The following is a 25530-nucleotide window of genomic DNA, read 5'->3' on the forward strand; positions in this document are numbered from 1 at the left end:
TTTTTTCCTTTTTTTTAATTGTTATACTTTAAGTTATGGGATACATGTGCGGAACGTGCAGGTTTGTTACATAGGTATACACGTGCCATGGTCATTTGTCTCACTCATCAACCCGTCATCTACATTAGGTATTTCTCCTAATGCTACCCCTCCCCTAGCCCCCCAGCCCCCAACAGGACCCAGTGTGTGATGTTACCCTCCCTGTGTCCATGTGTTCTCATTGTTCAATTCCCACTTATGAGTGAGAATATGTGGTGTTTGGTTTTCTGTTCCTGTGTTAGTTTACTGAGAATGATGGTTTCCAACTTCATCCGGGTCCCTGCAAAGGACATGAACTCACATTTTTAATAGCTACATAGTATTCCATGGTATATATGTGCCACATTTTCTTTATCCAGTCTAACATTGATGGGCATTTGGGTTGATTCCAAGTCTTTGCTATTGTGAATAGTGCTGCAATAAATATACGTGGGCATGTCTTTAGAGTAGAATGATTTATAATCCTTTGAGTATATACCCGGTAATGGGATTTCTGGGTCAAATGATATTTCTGGTTCTAGATCCTTGAGGAATCACCTCTTCCATAATGGTTGAAATAATTTACACTCCCACCAACAGTGTAAAAGCATTCCTATTTCTCCACATCCACTCCAGCATCTGTTGTTTCCTGACTTTTTAATAATCGCTATTCTACCTGGTGTGAGATGGTATCTCATTGTAGTTTTGATTTGCATTTCTGTAATGACCAGTGATGATGAGCTTTTTTTCATATGTTTTTTGGCCACATAAATGTCTTCTTTTGAGAAGTGCCTGTTCATATCCTTCACCTACTTTTTGATGGAGTTGTTTGTTTTTTTCTTGTAAATTTGTTGAATTTCCTTGTAGATTCAGGATATTAGCCCTTTGTCAGATGGATAGATTGCAAAAACTTTCTCCCAGTCTCTAGGTTGCCTGTTCACTATGCTGGTACTTTCTTTTGCTCTGCAGAAGCTCTTTAGTTTATAGATCTTATTTGTCAATTTTGGCTTTTGTTGCCGTTGCTTTTGGTGTTTTAATCATGAAGTCTTTGCCCATGCCAGTGTCCTGAATGGTATTGCCTAGGTTTTCTTCTAGGGTTTTTATGGTTTTAGGTCTTACGTTTAAGTCTTTAATCCATCTTGAGTTAATTTTTGTATAAGGTGTAAGGAAGGGGTCCACTTTCAGTTTTCTGCATATGGCTAGCCTGTTTTCCCAACACCATTTATTAAATAGGGAATCCTTTCCCTATTGCTTGTTTTTGTCAGGTTTGTCAAAGATCAGTTAGTTATAGATGTGTGGTGTTATTTCTGAGGCCTCTGTTCTGTTCCATTGGTCTATATATCTGTTTTGGTACCAGTACCATGCTGTTTTGGTTACTGTAGCCTGATAGTGTAGTTTGAAGTCAGCTGGATGCCTCCAGCTTTGTTCTTTTTGCTTAGGATTTTCTTGGCTATATGGGCTCTTTTTGTTTCCATATGAAATTTACAGTGTTTTTTTCTAATTCTGTGAAGAAAGTCAATGGTAGCTTGATGGGAATAGCATTGAATCTAAAAATTACTTTGAGCAGTATGGCCATTTTCACAGTATTGATTCTTCCTATCCACGAGCATGGAATGTTTTTCCATTTGTTTGTATCCTCTCTTATTTCATTGAGCAGTGGTTTGTAGTTCTCCTTGAAGAGCTCCTTCACATCCCTTGTAAGTTGTATTCCTAGCTATTTAATTCTCTTTGCAGCAATTGTGAATGGGAGTTCACTCATGATTTGGCTCTCTATTATTGGTGTATAGGAATGCTTGTGATTTTTTGCACATTGATTTTGTATCCTGAGACTTTGCTGAAATTGCTTATCAGTTTAAGGAGTTTTTGGGCTGAGACTGTGGGGTTTTCTAAATATACAATTATGTCATCTGCAAACAGAGACAATTTGACTTCTTCTCTTCCTATTTGAATACGCTTTATTTCTTTCTCTTTCCTGATTGCCCTGGCCAGAACTTCCAATACTATATTGAATAGGAGTGGTGAGAGAGGGCATCCTTGTCTTGTGCCAGTTTTCAAAAGGAATGCTTTCAGCTTTTGCCCATTCAATATGATATTGGCTGTGGGTTTGTCATAAATAGCTTTTATTATTTTGAGATATGTTCAGTTAATACCTAGTTTATTAAGTGTTTTTAGCATGAAGGGGTATTGAATTTTATCAAAGGCCTTTTCTGCATCTATTGAGATAATCGTGGTTTGTGTCATTGGTTCTGCTTATGTGATGGATTACGTTTATTGATTTGTGTATGGATTACATTTATTGATTTGCATTGAACTAGCCTTGCATCCCAGAGATGAAGCCGACTTGATCATGGTGGATACACTTTTTGATATGCTGCTGGATTCAGTTTGCCAGCATTTTATTGAGGATTATCACATTGATGTTCATCAGGGATATTGGCCTGAAATTTTCTTTTTTTTGTTTTGTCTCTGCCAGGTTTTGTTATCAGGATGATGCTGGCCTCATAAAATGAGTTAGGGAGGAGTCCCTCTCTTTCTATTGTTTGGAATAGTTTCAGAAGGAATGGTACCAGCTCCTCTTAGTATCTCTGGTAGAATTCAGCTGTGAATCCATCTGGTCCTGGGCTTTTGTTGGTTGGTAGGCTATTAATTATTGCCTCAATTTCAGAACTTGTTGTTGGTCTATTCAGGGATTCAACTTCTTCCTGGTTTAGTCTTATGAGGGTGTATGTGTCCTGGAATTTACCCATTTCTTCTACATTTTCTAGTTCATTTTTGTGGAGGTGCTTATAGTATCTTCTGATGGTAGTTTGTATTTCTGTGGGATCATTGGTGATACCCCCTTTATCTTTTTCTTGTGTGTGACTATTTGATTCTTCTCTCTTTTCTTCTTTATTAGTCTGGCTAGTGGCTTATCTATTTTATTAATCTTTTCAAAAAACCAGCTCCTGGATTCATTGAATTTTTTGAAGGGTTTTCGTGTCTCTATCTCCTTTAGTTCTGCTCTGCTCTTGGTTATTTCTGTCTTCTGCTAGCTTTTGAATTTGTTTGCTCTTGCTTCTCTAGTTCTTTTAATTAGGGTGTTGATTTTAGATCTTTCCTGCTTTCTCATGTGGGCAGTTAGTGCTATGAATTTCCCTCTAAACACTGCTTTAGCTGTGTCCCAGGGATTCTGTTATGTTTTGTCTTTGTTCCCATTGGTTTCAAAGAACTTCTTTACTTCTGCCTTAATTTCGTTATTTACCCAGAAGTCATTCAGGAGCAGGTTGTGCAGCTTCCTTGTAGTTGTGCGGTTTTGAGTGCGTTTCTTAATCCTGAGTTCTAATTTGATTGCACTGTGGTCTGAGAGACTGTTTGTTACGATTTCTGTTCTTTTGCATTTGCTGAGGAGTGTTTTACTTCCAATTATGTGGTCAATTTTAGAATAAGTGCTATGTGGTGCTGAGAAGAATGTATATTCTGTTGATTTGGGGTGGAGAGTTCTGTATATGTCTACTAGGTCCACTTGGTCCAGAGCTGAGTTCAAGTCCTGAATATCCTTGTTAATTTTCTGCCTCACTGATCTGTCTAATATTGCCAGTTGGGCGTTAAAGTATCCCCCTATTATTGTGTGGAAGTCTAAGTCTCTTTGTAGGTCTCTAAGAACTTGCTTTATGAATCTGGGTCCTCCTGTATTGGGTGCATATATATTTAGGATAGTTAGCTCTTCTTGTTGCATTGATCCCTTTACCATTCTGTTATGCCCTTCTTTGTCTTTTTTGATCTTTGTTAGTTTAAAGTCTGTTTTATCAGAGACTAGGATTGCAACCCCCGCATTTTTTTTTTTTTTGCTTTCCATTTGTTTGGTAAATATTCCTCTATCCCTTTATTTTGAGTCTATGTGTGTCTTTGCACAAGAGATGGGTCCCCTGAATACAGCACACGGATGGGTCTTGGCTGTTTATCCAGTTTGCCAGTCTGTGTCTTTTAATTGGAGCATTTAGCCCATTTACATTTAAGGTTAATATTGTTATGTATGAATTTGATCCTGTCATTATGATGTTATCTGGTTATTTTGCCCATTAGTTGATGCAGTTTCTTCATAGTGTCCATGGTCTTTATATTTTGGTATGTTTTTGCAGTGGCTGGAACTGGTTTTTCATTTCCGTATTTAGTGCTTCCTTTGGGAGTTCTTGTAAGGCAGGCCTCATGGTGACAGAATATCTCAGCATTTGCTTGTCTGTAAAGGATTTTATTTCTCCTTCGCTTATGAAGCTTAGTTCAGCTGGATATGAAATTCTGGGTTGAAAATTCTTTTCTTTAAGAATGTTGAATATTAGCCCCCATTCTCTTCTGGCTTGTAGGTTTTCTGCAAAGAGATCTGCATTAGTCTGATGGGCTTCTCTTTGTGGGTAACCTGACCTTTCTCTCTGGCTGCCCTTAACATTTTTTCCTTCATTTCAACCTTGGTGAATCTGACGATTATGTGTCTTGGGGTTGCTCTTCTTGAGGAGGAGTATCTTTGTGGCATTCTCTGTATTTCCTGAAGTTGAATGTTGGCCTGTCTTGCTAGGTTCGGGGAGTTCTCTTGCATAATATCTTGAAGTGTGTTTTCCAACTTTGTTCCATTCTTCTTGTCACTTTTGGGTACACCAATCAAATGTAGGTTTGGTCTTTTCACATAGTCTCTTATTTCTTGGAGGCTTTGTTTGTTCATTTTCATTATTTTTTCTCTAATCTTATCTTCACACTTTATTTTATTAAGTTGATCTTCAATCTCTGATATGCTTTCTTCCGCTTGATCGATTCAGCTATTGATACATGTGTATGCCTCATGAAGTTTTCGTGCTGTGTTTTCAGCTTCATCAGGTCATTTATGTTCTTCTCTAAATTGGTTAGTCTAGTTAGCAGTTTCTGTAACCTTTTTTTCAAGGTTCTTAGCTTCCTTGCATTGGGTTAGAACTTGCTCCTTTAGCTTGGAGGAGTTTGTTATTACCCACTTTCTGAAGCCTACTTCTGTCAATTCATCAAACTCATTCTCCATCCGGTTTTGTTCCCTTGCTAGCAAGGAGTTCTGATTCTTTGGAGGAGAAGAGACATCCTGGTTTTTGGAATTTACAGCATTTTTGCGCTGGTTTTTCCTCATCTTCGTGGATTTATCTACCTTTGATCTTTGATGTTGGTGACCTTCGAATGGGGTTTTTGCATGGTCCTTCTTTTTGTTGATGTTAATGTTGTTGCTTTTTGTTTGTTAGTTTTCCTTCTAACAGGCCCCTCTGCTGCAGGTCTGCTGGAGTTTGCTGGAGGTCCACCCCAGACCTGTTTGCCTGGGTATCATCAGGGGAAGCTGCAGAATAGCAAAGATTGCTCCCTGCTCCTTCCTCTGGAAGCTTCGTTTCAGAGGGGCACTCACAAGATACCAGCTGGAGCTCTCCTATATTAGGTGTCTGTTGACCCCTGCTGGGAGGTGTCTCCCAGTCAGGAGGCACAGGGGTCAGGGACCCACTTGAGGAGGCAATCTGTCCCTTAGCAGAGTTCGAGCTCTGTGCTGGGAGATCCGCTGCTCTCTTCAGAGCCAGCAGGCAGGAACATTTAAGTCTGCTGAAGCTTTGCTCACAGCTGCCCTTTCCCCCAGGTGCTCTGTCCCAGGCAGATGGGAGTTTTCTCTATAAGCCCCTTGCTGGGGCTGCCACCCTTCTTTCAGAGATCAGACAGTCTGGCTACAGTTGCTTTTCTGAGCTGTGGTGGGTTCTGCCCAGTTTGAACTTCCTGGAGGCTTTGTTTACACTGTGAGGGGAAAACTGCCTACTCAAGCCTCAGTAATGGTGGATGCCCCTCTCACCACCAAGCTCCAGCATTCCAGGTCGACTTCAGACTGCTGTCCTGGCAGCGAGAATTTCCAGCCGTTGGATCTTAGCTTGCCGGGCTCCATGGGGATGGGATCTGCTGAGCTAGACCACTTGGCTCCCTGGCTTCAGTCCCCTTTCCAGGGGAGTGAATGGTTCTGTCTTGCTGGTGTTCCAGGCACCACTGGGGTGTGAAAAAAAACAAACAAACAACTCCTGCAGCTAGCTTGGTGTCTCCCCAATCGGCTGCCCAGTTTAGTGCTTGAAACCCAGGGCCCTGGTGATGTAGGCACCTGAGGGAATCTCCGGGTCTGTAGGTTGTGAAGGCCTTGAGAAAAGTGTAGTATCTTGGCTGGATAGCACCGTACCTCACGGCACAGTCCCTCATGGCTTCCCTTGGCTAGGGGAGGGAGTTCCCCAACCTCTTGCGCTTCCCTGGTGAAGCGACACCCTCCGTGGGCTGCACCCACTGTCTAACCAGTTCCAGTGAGATGAACCAAGTACCTCTGTTGGAAATGCAGAAATCACCTGCATTCTGTTTTGGTCTTGCTGGGAGCTGCAGACTGGAGCTGTTCCTGTTTGGCCATCTTGCCAGCCACCTCCTCTGCTAGCTCTTTTATAGTTTCATCTTTTTACCTTTAATGCATTAATCTTTCCAGTATTTATTTTGGTGTATTTCGTGAGGTAAGGCTCTAACCTTCTTTCCAAAAGGATAACCAATTATCTTAGTGCTATTGGTTGAGTAATTAACCTTGTCCCCATGGATTTGACATGCTAAGTTCATATATTCTTATTTTCCTGTTGCCTTTCGTTGTTTTCTGCTCCACTGATCTGGCCCCATGAAATGTACCAGTTTTTAGAATGTTTAGCCATGTTTTATAGTATATTTTAACTGCAGTTAATGGGTTCCCTCTCTTTATGCTTCATTTTTGGTATATATCTTATATGAACTTTAGAATTTTTATTGTTAAATTCTTAAATTCTATTGGAAATTTTGATTTGAATTGCCTTGAATTCATACATTTGTGTAGTGCAGAATTGATATCTTTGTTATATTAATTCTATTCGGTAACATATATGTCTCATTTTTGTCCTAAATTCTTTCACATTCCTACATAATGTTTTGATTTTTTTCTTTATAAACATTATTCATATATGCACAGGAGTTTATTCCTACATATCTATTTTTATTGCTATGTAAAAATATACTTTTCGGTTTTTTTACAGAGTGCTTATTGTTGGTACATAGGTGATATTGATTTTATATATTCAATTTTTAAACATCCATGTTCATATACTCATAAATTCAATTTGTTTTTCAGCTGATTCTCATAGCTTTTTTAGGTAAAGACTCAAAGCAATGAAAAATTTGTTTCTTTTGGAACAATATGCTCTTAAGTTTCCATTTAATCTTATTTCAGAATTGAAATGATAAAGATGATATATACAAGTCACAAATTCACAGCACATTCTCTTCATTAGAGTAAATCAAATGAAACATCAGTATATATTAATAACCACCATCTTTTTATCACTGTCTTTTCAGATTTAAGGAACATGCAGATTTCACCACATTTTAATGTATTTGCACTTAAAGATTATGTAAAATTATTTTCAATGCAAAGCTTAAATAAATAATATTTTCATTTCTGAATACTGTTTTTATTCCATAACTTAAATATAACTATTTTCAATGTAATCTTTTTTACTGTAAAAAAGTATGTGTACTATTTAGATGTAATTACTTGTAGTTCATTATTTTTTATAGTTCTTAAATGCTATTCTAGTCAATCAGTACATGCCCACTGAAGAAATGAAAGATTCTTATTAATAATTGCTGAGAGCATAGCTATTGGGTATCCTTTATTTTCTCCCCCCTTGCTAGAGAATAATATTGGAAAGTAGTATTTCAGTTCTGTCATAAATATGCCAGTAATTGACATGGCCAAGTGAGTGTTTAAACCTGGACTCATTTGTGAATTTGTAATTGGTATGCTTTCCAAGGTGTGATTTAATGTAGAAATATAAACTTGAGCTCCTTAAAATGATTGGTTTAAATGTTGATTTAAAAAATGGTCAATAATAGTAGCAGTAGGGTAGATACATGCATATTGCTTTTTGATTGAAAGAGCTTTGTAGTTTTAATTGTGGAACTCATGCTCTCTCTATAATTCTGTGACTATATACTTTGCCTGGTGAAACTTACGAATGTGCCGATCACTTTATCATCATACCATCCAGAGTATTATCTTTGCACTTATGACAGTTGTAAGACCAAAGCTTAGACTTGCTGCTCTCTTGTGAGTTACTTACATGAAATGTTTTTTTGTAATGTTTATTCAGTATATTATATGTGAAATCACCCAGCTGTAAGATGTTATCCTTGCAAGTACCTATAGTACACATCGATAGTTTCCTCTGGTAATCTAGGAGATAAATTCATTGTGAATTTTTTTAAGTTGTGAGTTCTAGGATCCTTCTGCTTTGCCAGCTTGTAGTTACTGAAAATGAAATTGAGCCTTTACATTTAGAGTGATGATGAAGGTAATTGGCATTCATATGTAATAAATGGATTTATATTTAAATAAATGAAATAATTGCTTTCCCACAGCTGAGTGTGTTACACTCACTGGTATTTGTTGAATTACACATTTTGTTTTCCATTTGGAACTTAAGAATTCTCACTATGTTAATAAGTTTGGGAATTTTGTAAACTTTGACATTGTAAATTATATAGGGAGTCATGGACTACTTTGTATATGTGGCAGAAAAGTTTTTAATAATTTAAGGTTGTATATACTTTTATAATATTCTGAAGCATCAAGTAGGTCTTGGTGTTTTTATTTTCTAGAATGTTCTGAAGGATCTGGAAAAGAGAAAAGCTGATTTAAATACCATCACAGAGAGTAGTGCTGCCCTGCAAAACTTGATTGAGGGCAGTGAGCCTATTTTAGAAGAGAGGCTCTGCGTCCTTAACGCTGGGTGGAGCCGAGTTCGTACCTGGACTGAAGATTGGTGCAATACCTTGATGGTATGTCTCAGGAAAAAGTAAATGATGAAATCTTCTCCTCTCTTCTAGTTATTTTTTAAATGAATACAACTTTGATTAAATTTCAAATCCTGTTTACTGTGTGTCACAGTGATGTTTTGCTTGTGAATTAATTTCATTAGACTAGGTTTTATTTTTTCTTTGGAAAGGTAATAACTAGAAAGAATTTACAGTGTTTCTAAATATTCATGATCTGCATGGAATGAGGTACTTTCATATTTTAGTAAATGCACCTTATTTGTTTCATTTTAATGATTTCATATTGTATTTGATTTTCGTACTATCAGAAGCTATTTTTATATAAAATCTTCATAGTGTTTGAATAATGGCATACTGGTTAAGAGCACAGGCTCTAGCATCTGACGGCCTATGTAAAAATTTTCATTACTAGCTTGGTAACACTGGTAAAGTTACTTAAACATTCTCTAAACCTCAGTTGTTTAATTTGTAAAATGGACATTATTATATCTATCTCATACAGTTTTGCAATGATTGATTATGAGCCTTAAACATGTAGTGCTCTTAAATAACTATATGCAAAACAACCAATTTTAGATTTTGCTATGATTATAATTATTAAATATTGTATATGTGTTAGTCTTTGGTTATGCCACTGCTCTGTAAATTTGCATCTCATGGAAATAGTTACCATTTAATTTTTATATGGTTTTATGTTCCTATGATACTAATTGTGAATATATGGCCACCCCACCCTCCCCTGCTGAGGAAGGCATTGTCATTTATAATTTTTTTTAATTCTGAAATACCTGAGATAGGACTTTTATCAAATTTATAGAATTACTAGGTAATGGATAGAGACATAAAAAATACATTATCATGTGTTTGAATATTTATTTAAATTCCTCAGGATGTGTAGGGCAGTGAAGAGCATGGGCTTTGCTCTTGATCTCTAACAGATTTATATCCACAGTCCATGACTTATTATCTGTTTAACTTTAGCTAAGTTACTTAATGTTACTAAGCTTAAATTTCCATATATACAGAATGAGAACAAAAGTATATACCTAACAGAGTTGTTAAATATTGAATATAATAGTGAATATGAGATTCTTGGCACATAGAATATGCTCATTAAATATTTTATATATTAATTTTTAATTACTAGCTTTATTTCACATTCTTATGGCCCTTATTTCTGTATTCTTCAGTCTACACCTTTCAAACTCTCCATTCAAGCAGTATCTTTCTAGTGCTGTTAGAACATTTGATTTACCTGCTTAATAGGGGTAAACAAGTCTGGCACTCATCAGTTCTTCCTACTTAGAATCCAGATCACTGTTGATATTTTCTCATATCATTTATTAGTTCACATTTTCTTTTTTTAAAAATGTTTATTTTAAGTTCAGGGGTACAAGGGCAAGTTTGTTTTATTTTTATATTGTTTATTTGTTCACTTTTTTTTTTTTTCTGAGGCTGGGTGTCAGTCTGTCACCCATGCTGGAGTGCAGTGGTATGCAACCTCGACCTCCCCAGGCTCAGGTGATCCTTCCACCTCAGCCTTGAGAGTAGCTGGGACTACAGGCATGCGCCACCACACCCGGCTAATTTTTTTATTTTTTGTAGAGAGGGGGTTTCACCATGTTGTCCAGGCTGGTCTTGAATTCCTGAGGTCAAGTGATCCTCCCATCAGGGCCTCCCAAAGTACTGGATTACAGGCGTGAGCCACCACACCCAGCCTACATTTTCTTTTTTCAACTATGTTTCATATTATAGATTAATGATTTCTTTCTTTGTAAAAACTTTTACTGTCTAAGCATTTTCCAGTTTCTTTTATCCCACAAAATATAATTGCTAAAGGTTAATTTCATCATAAGTCTCGTTACCCTTTTTGGTCACACTCTAACTTCTTGCCTTAGATTAACTGTTTTTCCCAGTCATAATCTGCTTAACTCTTGCTTCTGTTTTCAAATCTGTTCTGTCAAGCACATTTCATGTCCTGCTTCAGTACATCTTGCTGTGGTCTGTGCCAGATGTAATATTAAGGGCTGGTGATACTGAGGTAAGGATACAAAGGCACTGTCCTTTGAGCAGAGCATACAGAATCTTTTTCAATTCATATTTTCATCATTTTAAAAAATTATTCCTTAAATGAGTTTTTTAAAAATATGGGCCAGGTGTGGTGGCGCACACCTGTAATCCCAGCACTTTGGGAGGCTGAGGAAGGTGGATCACAAGGTCAAGAGATCAAGACTTCCTGGCCAACATGGTGAAACCCCGTCTCTACTAAAAATACAAAAATTAGCTGGGTATGGTGGTGCAAGCCTGCAGTCCCAGCTACTCGGGAGACTGAGGCAGGAGAATCACTTGAACCTGGGAGGTGGAGGTTGCAGTGAGCTGAGATTGTGCCACTCTACTCCAGGCTGGTGACAGAGCAAGACTCCATCTCAAAAGAAAAAAGAAAAAAAGATTGAAGAGGGCAAATCAGATCAGTTGTAATATAAGAATAAGGAATAAGAGATGAACTTGCATTGAAATTGAAAAAGAAACTTTCACCTTTTATTCTACTTCAACTTTTTATTGTGCTGAGGTCTAAATCAAATAAATTTAAAAAGTGTTAAGCACCATAGATGTGCATTTTTAGGAATAAGATGAGTTATTCACTGAAGAAGAGCTCTGCAGGAAGGTGAAAGCTCTCCTTTAAATTCATGGTACAGTTTGCTCTTTGAAGGTCTTTTAAATCTCTTTTAAGATTATCATCTTAAATATTTCATATGGTTATGTAAGCATTTTATTAATTCCTTTGTAGAACCATCAGAACCAGCTAGAAATATTTGATGGGAACGTGGCTCACATAAGTACCTGGCTTTATCAAGCTGAAGCTCTATTGGATGAAATTGAAAAGAAACCAACAAGTAAACAGGAAGAAATTGTGAAGGTAGCAAACACAGACATCAGTAACGCTTTTGGGAGTGGCATGTTTTGTTGTCATGTTTTCTCTTCTGGAATGCTCTAAGTTACTTAGCTCTCATTCCTCCCAAGCATTAGATTCATTAACATTTATTTTGATGGGAGAAACTGAGACAATAAGAGACAAAATAAGAGACGAACTTGAAATTGAAAGACTTGTAAGAGATTTCAGCACAATCAACCGGAGTAAGACCTATTCACATAAGATGCCAATGAGTCTTGCTGATTGCTGACTTTTGTATTCTCCATTGAGTGCTGCTTACTTCTGTATTCTCCAGTGAGTCTTACTTACTTTTGTATTCTCCAATGAGTCTGTCTTACTTCTGTACTCTCCAATGAGTCTTACATACTTTTGTATTCTCCAGCGAGTCTTACTTCTGTATTTTCCAATGAGAATTACTTACCTCTGTGTTCTCCAATGAGTCCTATGTGAACAGCTCTCACCTGGTTGATTATGCTGAAATCTCTTACTGGGGATCCCAGATATTTATTTAAACTACCTTTCCTTCTGTATAAGCATCACACTCATGTTTGGGTTTGATTTTTCCCATGAGATAATTTTGTGTTTTCTTATAATTAGCGTTTAGTATCTGAGCTGGATGATGCCAACCTCCAGGTTGAAAATGTCCGCGATCAAGCCCTTATTTTGATGAATGCCCGTGGAAGCTCAAGCAGGGAGCTTGTAGAACCAAAGTTAGCTGAGCTGAATAGGAACTTTGAAAAGGTGTCTCAACATATCAAAAGTGCCAAAGTGAGTAATTATGCTTTTAGAGTAAACCATTTTTCCTATGGGTATGTATCTAAATGATAGTCATACAGTACATACATCAACAATTTTGTTTTATTATTTTAATTTTATTGTTTTCTCTCTCTGTCACCGAGGCTGGAGTGCAGTGGCATGAGCTCACTGCAACCTCCGCCTTCTGGGTGCAAGCTATTCTCCTGCCTCAGCCACCCAAGTAGCTGGGATTTCCGGCAACTGCCACCACACCCAGCTAATTTTTGTGTTTTTTTTAGGAGAGATAGGGTTTCACCATCTTGGCCAGGCTGGTCTTGAGCTGCTGACCTCAAGTGATCTGCCCGCCTTGGCCTCCCAAAGTGCTGGAATTACAGGTGTGAGCTGCTGCACCCGGCCAACAATTTTTAAATTAAAATGTTTTTAATCACTTTTTCTTTGAATGGAGCATTTGTCCGTATTTATTTGTGATTGTGCATATGAAGGAGAGAAAACAAGCAATTAGTATTGAAGAAAATAACCTATTTGAGAAAAGGTTTCAAAGACTCAGTCAAAGGTTAGAATTGGTTATGAAATGATGAAACTAATTCCCAAGCTAGGGATGAATATTAAACCCTTTATTTTATGGTCACACTCTATATATGTCTTCACATTGCACACACCACAGAACTTGTTTTTTTTTTTGTTTTATATGACGACAAATCTAAAAGTTACAGATAATTTCACAGTTTAATCCTAATGTAGGAAAGTACTACCTGATTTTATAAATTTAATAAAGAGCTTTAGACATTTAATTAACAGGGTAATAAATAGGACCTTTATGAGAGTGCTAGTTTTCCCACACTTAGCCAACCCCAGATGGTATTTATCTGCATTTAGTTTTATTAAAATTGTTTTATTGAGTTTTATTTAAACAAATATAAAATTTTTCTACGTAGATGTTATCTGAAAAGATGACATTGAGAAATATGCACTTCTTTGACGTTTGTGTATGAAAATCCAAGGGGAATTCTACTGAGGAAACTTAACTGGGAGACATTCTGTGAGGTGTCCCTGCCCTGGGGGCTGGGTGGCTGTTCTTCCTTTCTGTGGCCATGGTAAGGATAGTTTCTGGATCATGGCCATAGTTTCCTGCTATGCTCGCATGTGGTCTCCAAATCCACGCCACAACACTCTGGGCAGCCACAATGAATTGCAATACTACGTCACATCCCTGGCTAGAGTTTGGAGAAAACGGGTCATTCAGAGAAGTCTGAATTGGTAAAATCATTGCCATATAAATGAATGAAACAAAAGTTAGCTGAGCTGAATAGAAAAGTCAGTTAAAAAAGTGTTAGTTTCTCTCTTGACACCCCATCTCTCTGATTAATGATGGAAAGTCAAATTAAAAATCTATTTTCAGAGAATTCTTTTCCTTCTACAGTTGCTAATTGCTCAGGAACCATTATACCAATGTTTGGTCACCACTGAAACATTTGAAACTGGTGTGCCTTTCTCTGACTTGGAAAAATTAGAAAATGACATAGAAAATATGTTAAAATTTGTGGAAAAACACTTGGAATCCAGTGATGAAGATGAAAAGGTTGGTTCAAGGAGATTTCAAAACCATGGTGGTCTCATTTTTCTTCTCTATTAATTTCATTTTTACATCAAGATGTTTGCCCATATAATCTGTCAAACATGATGAAACAGATTCAAATGTGATTTTTTGATGTGTGTCAATGTAAGAGTCACATGATTCATGTGCTTAAAAAGAAAATAGACTCAGTTTCTGAACTAGACATAATCCTTAGTATTATCTAATGTTTGCTAAACTCTCTTTGAGACATTTTATCTTCAAATATAAAATATATTTAAAAAAAACATAAATTTTTTGATCGTTCAGGTTAACATATCTTGACGTATACTATACTAAGTAGGTTAGTTTTCCTCCTTAGGAGTTGATAGGAAGTGACCTTATGCATTTTTCTTTTGAGTCATTTTTTTTTTCCTTTTAAAAATTTAGATGGATGAGGAGAGTGCCCAGATTGAGGAAGTTCTACAAAGAGGAGAAGAAATGTTACATCAACCTATGGAAGATAATAAAAAAGAAAAGATCCGTTTGCAATTATTACTTTTGCATACTAGATACAACAAAATTAAGGTATTATGATTGGAGAGTCTCTGTTGCATTTAAATACCTTACTTAACTCTTGCCATTCAGATGTGTGATGCTGCATCACAGATGCTTTAAAACACACCAGTTGGAATATCATCTCCTCCTTTCTAGTGTGTGTTACTAGATGTGTTCATATTTTTGGATGGTGCAGAACTCAAAATGGAAATGTAAAACCTTATTATTGGCCATCTCTTTTGGATTTCTGATTATGTTATCAAACCTAAAAGAGATCTATCTATTTCAGAAGTGGCTTCCTCCAATTCCATATTTTATTTGTGAAGGTCTTGTCTATGTCAAAAAAAATTTCTAGTTTAAAAATAACTCAGTTTGTGAAAGTGATGTAATATGATTTATATTCTAGTAAAGATTCACTACCAGCTCCCTTTTTATTTCTTTATATTTTTCTTTTTTTTTTTTAAAGATGGGGTATCTCTATGTTGCCCAGGCTGATCTTGAACTCCTAGGCTCAAGTGATCCTCCTATGTCAGTCTCCCAAGTTGCTAGGACTACAGGTGTGTGGGCCACCATATCCAGCTCCAGCTCTTTTTTAAACGGCAATCTTTCTAGCTGCATTTTAAGTGTGCTGTTGTTCCCTGGGGTCCGTTCTTTGGTAGTTCCTTCTAGAACGATTTTTATTTGATGACTTTGGAAATTAAGTAGATCGATTATGGTACTGTATTTTTACTGTACCTTTTCTATGTTTAGATATGTTTAGATACATAAATACTTCCAACTGTGTTTCAGAATTGCCTATAGTATTCAGTACAATAACGTGCTGTAAAGTTTTAGCCTAGGAGCAATTGACTATACCACACAGCCTAAGTGTGCAGGAGGCTGTACCATCTAGGTTTGTGTAAGGGCACTCTATGATGTTTGTATGACAATGAAATAACCTAGAGACACATTTCTCAGAACATGTCCCTGTTATTAAGCAATGCATGACTATACTTTAAAAACTAGCCATTCTCTCAAGGCTGAAGCCTCAACATCCTTCTTAACTATTTCTTGTTCCTCACATATCTTCTCACATCACACTGAGTAGGCATTAAAACTGTTGAGACTGCTTGAAGCAACATACAGGTTTGAACGTGAAGTTAGATATTGCTCTACCAGCTGCTTGTTTTATGACCATCAGAAAGTGCCTTAGCTTATTTTACTTCACTATCCTTTCCATAATTTAGACTAATGATTTTCTCCCATGATATTATATCCCATGGACATATTCTTATGTCTGTTTTTTCTCACTCTAGCATGTCCTTTGTCTCTTCCTCACAGTTATTCTCCCCAAAGTCATGGCTGATCATGTCATTCCTTCATCGAAGAAACTGTTTAGGAAAATATTGCAAAATACAGAAAAAGCTTTAAATGCAAGGTCTGTCAATATAACGACATACAAAGTCTTCAGTCTGACCCCTGGCTCCTTATGTCTTTGATGTGCTGTCACTTCCCATGTAGTACAGCTATGCTGGTTTTTCTTTACATTTTCCTAAACACATCATGTGCCTTAGCACATCTGGGAACTTATTAATTTTATTCCGATTCCCTAGAGTGAGTTTTGTCTTTTTAGGTTAGCTGAAAAATGCGTTATCTTTTAAAACTCAGCTCCATTTTTATTTCTAACTTCTGTCAGATTATATTATAGTTCTCTGCTTTATTGTGACTTTTTAAAGTATCTTTCTTCCCTAATGCTTCTCCAAGTTCAGGCAATATCTTTTTCATCTTTGGGTCCGAAATCAGAAATTATTACTGGCACAAAATAGAAATAAGTTTTAAGCTTTTAATACATAAATAAATTTGTTTGTTAAAAGTACTAATATATACTATACAAGCTAATTTCATTCTGGCTTTACTAACATTGGTAGGCGAACTATGTTACAAACTTCAAATCTATAGTTTTCAAACTTATATGATTCTTAAGTGTGAACATGAGAATTACTGTGGGGGAGCTTTAAAAAAACTACAGTGCCCAAATCTAATTCCTGAAACAGGTAAATCAGAATCTCTCAGGACCTAGGTGTGGGCATTTACAAAAACAAAACACAAAACATTTGTAGATGATTTTAATGTACAATTAGGATTGAGAAGCACTAGTTTACAGGACTCATTGTCTTACCTGAAATATATGTTAAGTGACCTTTTCCAATTTGTTTACTAGAGTATTACTGTTTTTAAATTATGTATGAGCACTTTATAAAGATATTAACCACTTGCCATAATTGCTATAAAATATTATCTTATTGATATTTATCTTCTAATTATTTTATCTTTAAGATATAACCATTTAAAATTTTTGTTTAGCCACAGGTGACTATGTTTTCCCTTAGTGATTTTTCAGGGGTTTCTGTTTTGGGATCTAAAAAGTTTTCATCCTCCAGAAAGTTGATGAATATTCAATTCTGTTTAGTTCCAGGTTTTTCCTATGGTTTGGTAAAAACAAAACTTAGAAATTTAATAAAACACTCACTTAAAAATCTCTTTAATCTTTGCTATATGATGTGAGCTACGTCATGTAACACTGTCTCATTTAAGTACTGACCTCTAGTATATTTGTGTTTCTGTGTCCTTGGAGAATTCTTTAAAAATAAAATTGTCCAGAAGTAAAGTCTCGGTCAGATCTCGAGGACATTTTTTTAGTCCTAGGGCATTTTGATTGATCACTCTCTTGGGGGAAAAAAATCTATTTTGGGAATACAGAAAGCACATGTTTAAGTCTTGAACGGCCTTGCTGCTTCTGCAAGAGTGGGAAGGCTCAGAAAAATCCTGGATTGTCCTATAGTCTGAAAAGAAAAAGAGGCAGTCTTAATGAATGGGAATTTTTTAAACTTGGATCTTTATGATACCTACTAACCTCCCTAGTTTATTCTAAAGCTTCAGGTACACGTGGTCTTGCAGAATGACAATCCGTTATGTAACTGAAGAAGCAGCACAGGAATTCCAGTCTTGCAGTAGTAGCTGAGGTATAAAAGTGGCTCCCAACATTTACCTAATGGAGCAGATTAAAAAACAAATGTGGCATGTATTATCTAGTGGTGCTAAATGAGGAAAGTACTACAAAGGTAAATGTCCCTACAAGCATAATAAAGTAGTTGGATGTCTGGAGTTTTTTGGTCTTTTGGAAAACAGATGACCTTTCAGCAAAATCTTGGTTAATGGATGGGAAGCCAAGAAGGAAAACGGGTCCCACTTTCCTCTTTTACTTTTTCGACATGATTACTCAACCTAGAAATACTTTCATTGGGCTATTTTCTTTTCCTTAAAGTTAAGAGGGAGAACAATTGAGCCTAGTTTTCTGATCTTCCAAAATAAAAACACTGGCTTATTTGAAATGAAAATCCAAAAGAATTATTTTTGATTTTTTCTTTTCTTAAAAAATACTTAGCATCTTTTTATTCATAACTGGTTTCTGGGTAGATATGTTATTTATTTCAGCATTCTTTTATATTTGCTTAAAACACAGAATTTGTTTCCTTAGACATATGGGTAAATATCTAGAAATGCTTTCTGACTAAAATTTAAACTTGCGGCATTAGGATAATAAAATTAATCTTGGAGACAAGTGTAATTAGTTCTGTTGTTAAAGTCAAGAAATGTATAGACCTGCTTCTAACCTGGCTATCCAGAACTACCCTCAAATGATGGACGCAGTAGTTTAACAAATTCTAGGAGGCAATAATGCAGTCCTCTAGGTTCAACACCATGTTATCCACTCAATGATTTTAGTCATGAGTCTTGGATTCCTTTAGAGATTGGATTGTAACCATTTTCAAGATCACTAACTGAATTAACATGCATTTGTGATCGTTTTACCTATCATCTTGAATTTACAGATGATTATCATTTTTTAGAAGTTCAACATAGGAGAAGTGAAAGTGTCAAGGAAGGTACCTTAATTCATGAGCAGCTGCAGTTTGGCCCTTTGCAAGTGGTAATACGTAGCACTTATTAAATTGTGGCCATCTAGGAGTAAAGGGTTTGAACTCCTGAAGGACTGGCGGTCCATCCCAGAGAGCACTTTATTGTTTAGAAAGCTCTGAGAAGAGGGCCGGGCATGGTGGCTCATGCCTGTAATCCCAGCACTTTGGGAGGCTGAGGTCAGCTGATCACTTGAGGTTAAGAGTTCGAGGCCAGCCTGGCCAACATGGTGAAACCCCATCTCTACTAAATATATAAAAGTTAGCTGGGCATGATGGTGCATGCTTGTAATCCCAGCTACTCAGGAGGCTGAGGCAGAAGAATCGCTTGAACCTGGGAGGCAGACGGTGCAGTGAGCCGAGATCACAGCACTGCACTCCAGCCTGGGAGGCAGAGCAACACTCTGTCCTGCACCCCCCCAAAAAAATAAAAATGAAAAAGAAAGCTCTGAGAAGAGGATCCAGAAAATCTATATTAGGGCAGATGAGTAGTCCATAGAGCCTCAAGTCTGTCTAAATATGACACTTCATGATCTATTTTCTAATGTAGGATATTCCTGCTCTATAATATTATTCTCAGAGATTAAGATTACATACTGAATTACCTGGATATTACTTTAATCAAAACCCTTTGTGCATTTCATGTTGTGTTATGGAAACATGTTTAACTTGCTTATATTTTTAGCAATGAGGTCCAATTTTAAAATTGTGATATTTTTAAAAGAGTGAAATAATGTATCAAAATGTTTTATTTCATACAAAACTTTGTGATTGGCAGGATATTCTCATTCTTTCAACAACTCAAGAAAGGAATTGTTGTTTTTTGTTTGCTAACTGAGTTTAGATGGCATAGATCTTAAAGCCTGTCAAATTAATAACATACTTATACTGTTTAATATCATGCTGCAGATGAAAATTAGGATACAGATTGTTAAGGTTTTCTGTTGCAAGGTAGGTTTATAATATAAAATATTAAAACTAAGTTTTAAAAATTTGGTTCATGATATTGCATTCCTTCACACAATAGTCTTGTTATTATTCATTGTGGGGGTATTTTAAGAGATATATATATATATATATATTTTTTTTTTTGCTGTTTTTGTAGGCAATCCCTATTCAACAGAGGAAAATGGGTCAACTTGCTTCTGGAATTAGATCATCACTTCTTCCTACAGATTATCTGGTTGAAATTAACAAAATTTTACTTTGCATGGATGATGTTGAATTATCGCTTAATGTTCCAGAGCTCAACACTGCTATTTACGAAGACTTCTCTTTTCAGGAAGACTCTCTGAAGGTAGACCTCTGGGCACTGTGTTTGAATGGCCACAGTTAATGTAGAAGTAGAGGAAGAAATTTGTTCTTGTGCCTACTTAGATGGTCTATATCTTTTACAATTTGTGCCAGGGGATTAATAATATGTATGACTAGTAAAGCTTTCCTATATTGTCAAAGAAAATATATTAAATTTTGAATTTTTAAAAAGTGGGTATGGATTGTTAAATGTGCACAGTTATAAATTATTTGCAACATCAGAGCCTTGTTTAAAATTAAACAGAGACATAGACCACCTTCCTGTCTTATAAACTAGATTGTCAGTTGATGTTAATTGTCAGCATTTATCAGGCAATCTATAATGGTTTAAAATTGGCCAGTTGAGGTATGGAATGGCATCTTGATTGTAAGTTAATTAAACTTAAATTCTAGCAAGGCATTTTCATGTAACTTGATTGCATTTATATGTAAAATCACAATAAATTCACTGATAATATGGATTTGATAGTGCATTCCTCTCATTTAAACTAACATTATTAGATATTTGAAAATATCACTATTTCCAGCTTCAAATGCCTCATTACCTATAGAGAATGTTACTGAAGCCTTTCATGTGTTCTGTACAAATGCTACTATTGTGAGGACTTTTTTTCCTGCCTTGAGTATATTATGTAGCATATTCCACACACTTTGGTTAAAACAGAGTATCATTTAAAAAAAAAAAGTTTTCAGTTTTCATGATTAACAATGATTATGTCTCATTATTATTTCAAATGAGTGTTCTACAATATAAATATCTGGTCATCTGTGATTCCTTTTTTTGTTACTTTGCTGGATTTTGTTAATCTATGACAATATATTTTTAGAATATCAAAGACCAACTGGACAAACTTGGAGAGCAGATTGCAGTCATTCATGAAAAACAGCCAGATGTCATCCTTGAAGCCTCTGGACCTGAAGCCATTCAGATCAGAGATACACTTACTCAGCTGAATGCAAAATGGGACAGAATTAATAGAATGTACAGTGATCGGAAAGGGTATGTGTAAATGAAATTAATATTTAATTTAAAAAAATGCCTGCAAGTTCATGGGCGTGAAGAAGATCATGTGGACACTGAGATTAATGAGAACATGTTTCATATCCTTGTAGGATGCCCTATTATTTTTTTTTCTTTTAAGAAGGAGTCTTGCTCTGTCACCCAGGCTGGGGTGCAGTGGCATGATCTCAGCTCACTGCAACATTTGCCTCCCAGGTTCAAGCAATTCTCCTGCCTCAGCTTCCCAAGTAGCTGGGATTACAGGCGCACACCACCACGCCTGGCTAATTTTTGTATTTTTAGTAGAGATGGGGTTTCACCATGTTGGCCAGGCTGGTATTGAACTCCGGACCTCAGGCAGTCCGCCTTGCCTTGGCCTCCCAAAATGCTGGGATTACAGGTGTGAGCCACTGCACCCGGCCTTATGCCCTGTTTAATAAATTGTGATGAGTATAGTTCCTTAAAGGAGGAATGTGATCATGTATAGATGACCATTTATAACATAATATCTTAATGATATGGAAGCACTTCTAATTTTTAGTGTCTAAATAGTGTCCATTCTCTTTAAAAAAACTAAAGAAATTTTTCATTAATGTTCACTTTCTCAGCACACTTGATGATTAATGTGAGTGAAGAACAGAGGCAGCTACAGATAATTAGAATCCATATATAGTACCAAACTCTTTTTTATAGCCTTCTGTTTAAATGAATGCTTTTGAGCCTTCTTACTAGATTTTGACCAGGACTATTAATAGGTAGAAATGAAAACAGGCAAGATTTTTGCCAGTAGCTGTGGATGTGATGGAAAGGCAAATAAGTTATGAAATAACCCAGTGGAAAGCGCTGTATAAGAGGAAAGGGAGCACAGAATAATACATTGGGTAACTTGAGAGACATACGCACAAAAACTAGGCATCATGTTCCTTCTCTTTTTTTCTATTTTAGCCTACATATTTCAATGTGACTAATCCTTGAAAAGATAGCTTTTAGTGGCCTTTGGTATATTCCTTTGTTTGGATTTTACAAATTTTCTCTTTGTACCTTTGGAGAACATTCTTTTACATACATCTTTATCCATACTTATATTTCATTAGGCTTGATCATTAGATGAAGACAAATTTCTTTAAAAATAATGACATTTTAAACCCCTGTATTATATCATGAAATTGGTTACTATACCCCTGCCAACAGTATTTGTAAAAATATCCTTCTTTTTGAGCCCTTACTAACATTGACAGGTTTTTTTTTTATTATTTAAAAAAACTTTGCCAGTTTAATAGTGATAGATTACATCTCAATTTTATTTTCATTTTTAAATTTTTAGTGCTACTAATTTTTGTACGTCAATTTTGTATCCTGAAACTTTGCTGAATTTATTTACCAGTTCTAGGAGCTTTTTGGATGAGTCTTTAGGGTTTTCTAGGTATATGATCATGTTACCAGCAAACAGTAACAGTTTGAGTTCCTTTTAACCAATTCGGATGCCCTTTATTTCTTTCTCTTGTCTGATTGCTCTGTCTAGGACTTCCGGTACTATGTTGAATGCAAGTGGTGAAAGTGGGCATCCTTTTCTTGTTCCAGTTCTCAGGGGGAATGCTTTCAATTTTTCCTCATTCAGTATAATGTTGGCTATGGGCTAAAAGTCATAGATGGCTTTTATTACCTGAAGGTATGTTCCTTCTATGCCAATTTTGCTGAGAATTTTAATCATAAAGGGATGCTAGATTTTGTCAGAGGCTTTTTCTGAGTCTGTTGAGGTGATCATGTGATTTTTGTTTTAATTCTGTTTATGTGGTGTATCACATTTATTGACTTGTGTATGTTAAACCATCCCTGCATCCCTAGTATGAAACCCACTTGATCATGGTTTATTGTCTTTTTGATATACTATTGGATTCAGTTAGCTAGTATTTTGTTGAGGATTTTTGCATCTATATCAGGGATTTGGTCTGTAGTTTTCTTTTTTGTTATGTCCTTTCCTGGTTTTGGTATTAGGGTAATACTGGCTTCATGGAATGATTTAGGGAGGATTCCCTCTTTCTCTATCTTTTGGATAGTGTCAGTAGGATTGGTACCAATTCTTCTTTGAATGTCTGATAGAATTCAGCTCTGAACCCATCGGGTCCTGGGCTTTTTTTTGCTGGTAATTTTTTAATCATGATTTTAATCTTGCTGCTTGTTATTGGTCTGTTTAGAGTTTCTATTTCTTCCTGGTTTAATTTAGGAGGGTTGTATATTTCCAGGAATTTATCCATATCCTCTAGGTTTTCTAGTTTATGCATGTAAAAATGTTCATAATAGCCTTGATCTTTTGTATTTCTATGGCATCAGTTGTAATATCACCCATTTTGTTTCTGATTGAACTGATTTGGATCCTCTCTCTTTTCTTGGTTAATCTCACCAATAGTCTGTAAATTTTATTTATTTTTTTAGAGAACCAGCTTTTTGTTTCATTTTTTTTTGTATTTTTGTTTATTTGTTTCATTTTCATTTAGCTCTGCTCTGATCTTGGTTATTTTTTTTTCTTCTGCTGGGCTTGGGTTTGGTTTGTTCTTGTTTATCTAGTTCCTTGAGGTGTGACTTTAGATTGTCTATTTGTGCTCTTTTAGACTCTTTGATGTAGGCATTTAATGCTATGCACATTCCTCTTAGTACCGCTTTTGCCATATCCCAAAAGTTTTGATAGGTTGCGTCACTATTATCGTTCAGTTCAAAGAATTTTTAAATTTCCATCTTGATTTCATTGATGACCCAATGATCATTCAGGAGCAGGTTATTTCGTTTCCATATATTTGCATGGTTTTGAGGGTTCCCTTCAGACTTGATTTCCAATTTCATTCCACTGTGGTCTGAGAGAGTACTTGATGTAATTTTAGTTTTCTTAAATTTGTTGAGACTTGTTTTGTGGCTTATCACATGGTCTATCTTGGAGAATATTCCATGTGTTCATGAATAGAATATATATTCTGCAGTTGTTGCATAGAATGTTCCGTAAGTATCTGTTAAGTCCATTTGTTCTAGGGTATAGTTTAATTCCATTGTTTCTTTGTCGACTTTCTGTCTGGGTGACTTGTCTAGTGCTATCAGTGGAGTATTGAAGTCCACCACTGTTAATGTGTTGCTGTTTATTTCATTTCTTAGGTCTAGTAGTAATTGTTTTACAAACTTGGGAGCTCCAATGTTAGGTGCATATATATTTAGGATATAATTTCCTGTTGGACTAGTCTTTTTATCATTATATAATGTCCTTCTTTGTCTTTTTTAACTGCTGTTGCTTTAAAATTTATTTTGTCTGATATAAGAATAGCTACTCCTGCTTGCTTTTGGTGTCCATTTGGATGGACTGTTATTTTGCACCCCTTTGCCTTAAGTTTATGTGAGTTTTTATGTGTCGGGTGAGTCTCTTGAAGACAGCAGTTACTTGGTTGGTGAATTTTTATCCATTCTTCTATTCCGTATCTTTTAAATGAAGCATTTAGGCCATTTACATTGAATGTTATTATTGAGATATGAGGTACTATTCTATTTATCATGATATTTGTTGCCTCAATACCTTGGTTTTTTTTTTTTTTTCATTTTGTTATTGTTAATAGGTTCTTTGAGATCTATGCTTTATTGTTGTTGTTGTTGACAGGTCTTCTTCTGTCACCCAGGCTGGAGTGCAGTGGCATGATCTCGGCTTACTGCAACCTCTGCCTCTCAGGTTCAAGCAGTTCTCTGCCTCAGCCTCCCATGTAGCTGGGGCTACAGGTGCCCACCACCATGCCTGGCTAATTTTTTTTGTATTTTTTAGTACAGGTGGGGTTTCACTGTGTTAGCCAGGCTGACCTCAAACTCCTGACCTCAGGTGATCCACCTGCCTCAGCCTCCGAAAGTGCTGGGATTACAGACGTGAGCCACCACACCTGGCCAAGATTTATGCTTCAAGAAGATTCTATTTTGTTGTATTTCTAGGATTTGTTTCAAGACTTAGAGCTCCTTTTAGCAATTCTTGTAGTGCTGGCTTAATAGCAGCAAATTCTCTCAGTATTTGTTTGAAAAAGACTATCTTTCCTTCATTTATGAAGCTTAGTTTCACTGGATACAAAATTCCTGGCTTGTAATTGTTTTGTTTAAGGAGGCTGAAGATAGGACCCCAATCTCTTCTAGCTTATAAGGTTTCTGCTGAGAAATCTTCTGTTAATGTGATAGATTCTTCTTTATAGGTTACCTGATGCTTTTGCCTCACAACTGTCAATATTCTTTCCTTCTTATTGACTTTACGTAACCTGATGACCATGTGCCTAGGCAATGATCTTTTTGCGATGAGTTTTCCAGGTGTTCTTTGAGATTTTTGTATTTGGATATCTAGATCTCTAGCAAAGCCGGGAGGTTTTCCTCAATTATTCCTGCAAATATGTTTTAGATACTTTTGGATTTCTCTTTTACTTGGGAACACAAATTATTCTTTGGTCTTTTAACATATTCCCAAACTTCATGGAGGCTTTGTTCATTTTTTAAAATTCTTTTTTCTTTTTCTTTGTCAGATTGGGTTAATTCAAAAGCCTTGTCTTTGAGCTCTGAGGTTTCTTCTACTTGTTCGAATTTATTGCTG

The 25530-nt window shown here is 36.2% G+C and overlaps 1 protein-coding gene across 1 annotated transcript in view; it reads left to right on the forward strand.

Annotated features, from left to right (window-relative positions):
• UTRN (utrophin) overlaps nucleotides 1–25530 on the forward strand; it is a 567700-nt gene that overhangs the window by 216918 nt on the left and 325252 nt on the right. Inside the window, exons 35-41 of the mRNA NM_007124.3 lie at nucleotides 8692–8871; nucleotides 11657–11785; nucleotides 12398–12568; nucleotides 13977–14135; nucleotides 14559–14696; nucleotides 19728–19919; nucleotides 20764–20936. Coding sequence (NP_009055.2) covers nucleotides 8692–8871; nucleotides 11657–11785; nucleotides 12398–12568; nucleotides 13977–14135; nucleotides 14559–14696; nucleotides 19728–19919; nucleotides 20764–20936 — 1142 coding nt within the window. The remainder of the gene's footprint in view (nucleotides 1–8691; nucleotides 8872–11656; nucleotides 11786–12397; nucleotides 12569–13976; nucleotides 14136–14558; nucleotides 14697–19727; nucleotides 19920–20763; nucleotides 20937–25530) is intronic.

This window comes from Homo sapiens, chromosome 6, assembly GCF_000001405.40.
Source record: "Homo sapiens chromosome 6, GRCh38.p14 Primary Assembly".
NCBI lineage: Eukaryota > Metazoa > Chordata > Mammalia > Primates > Hominidae > Homo > Homo sapiens.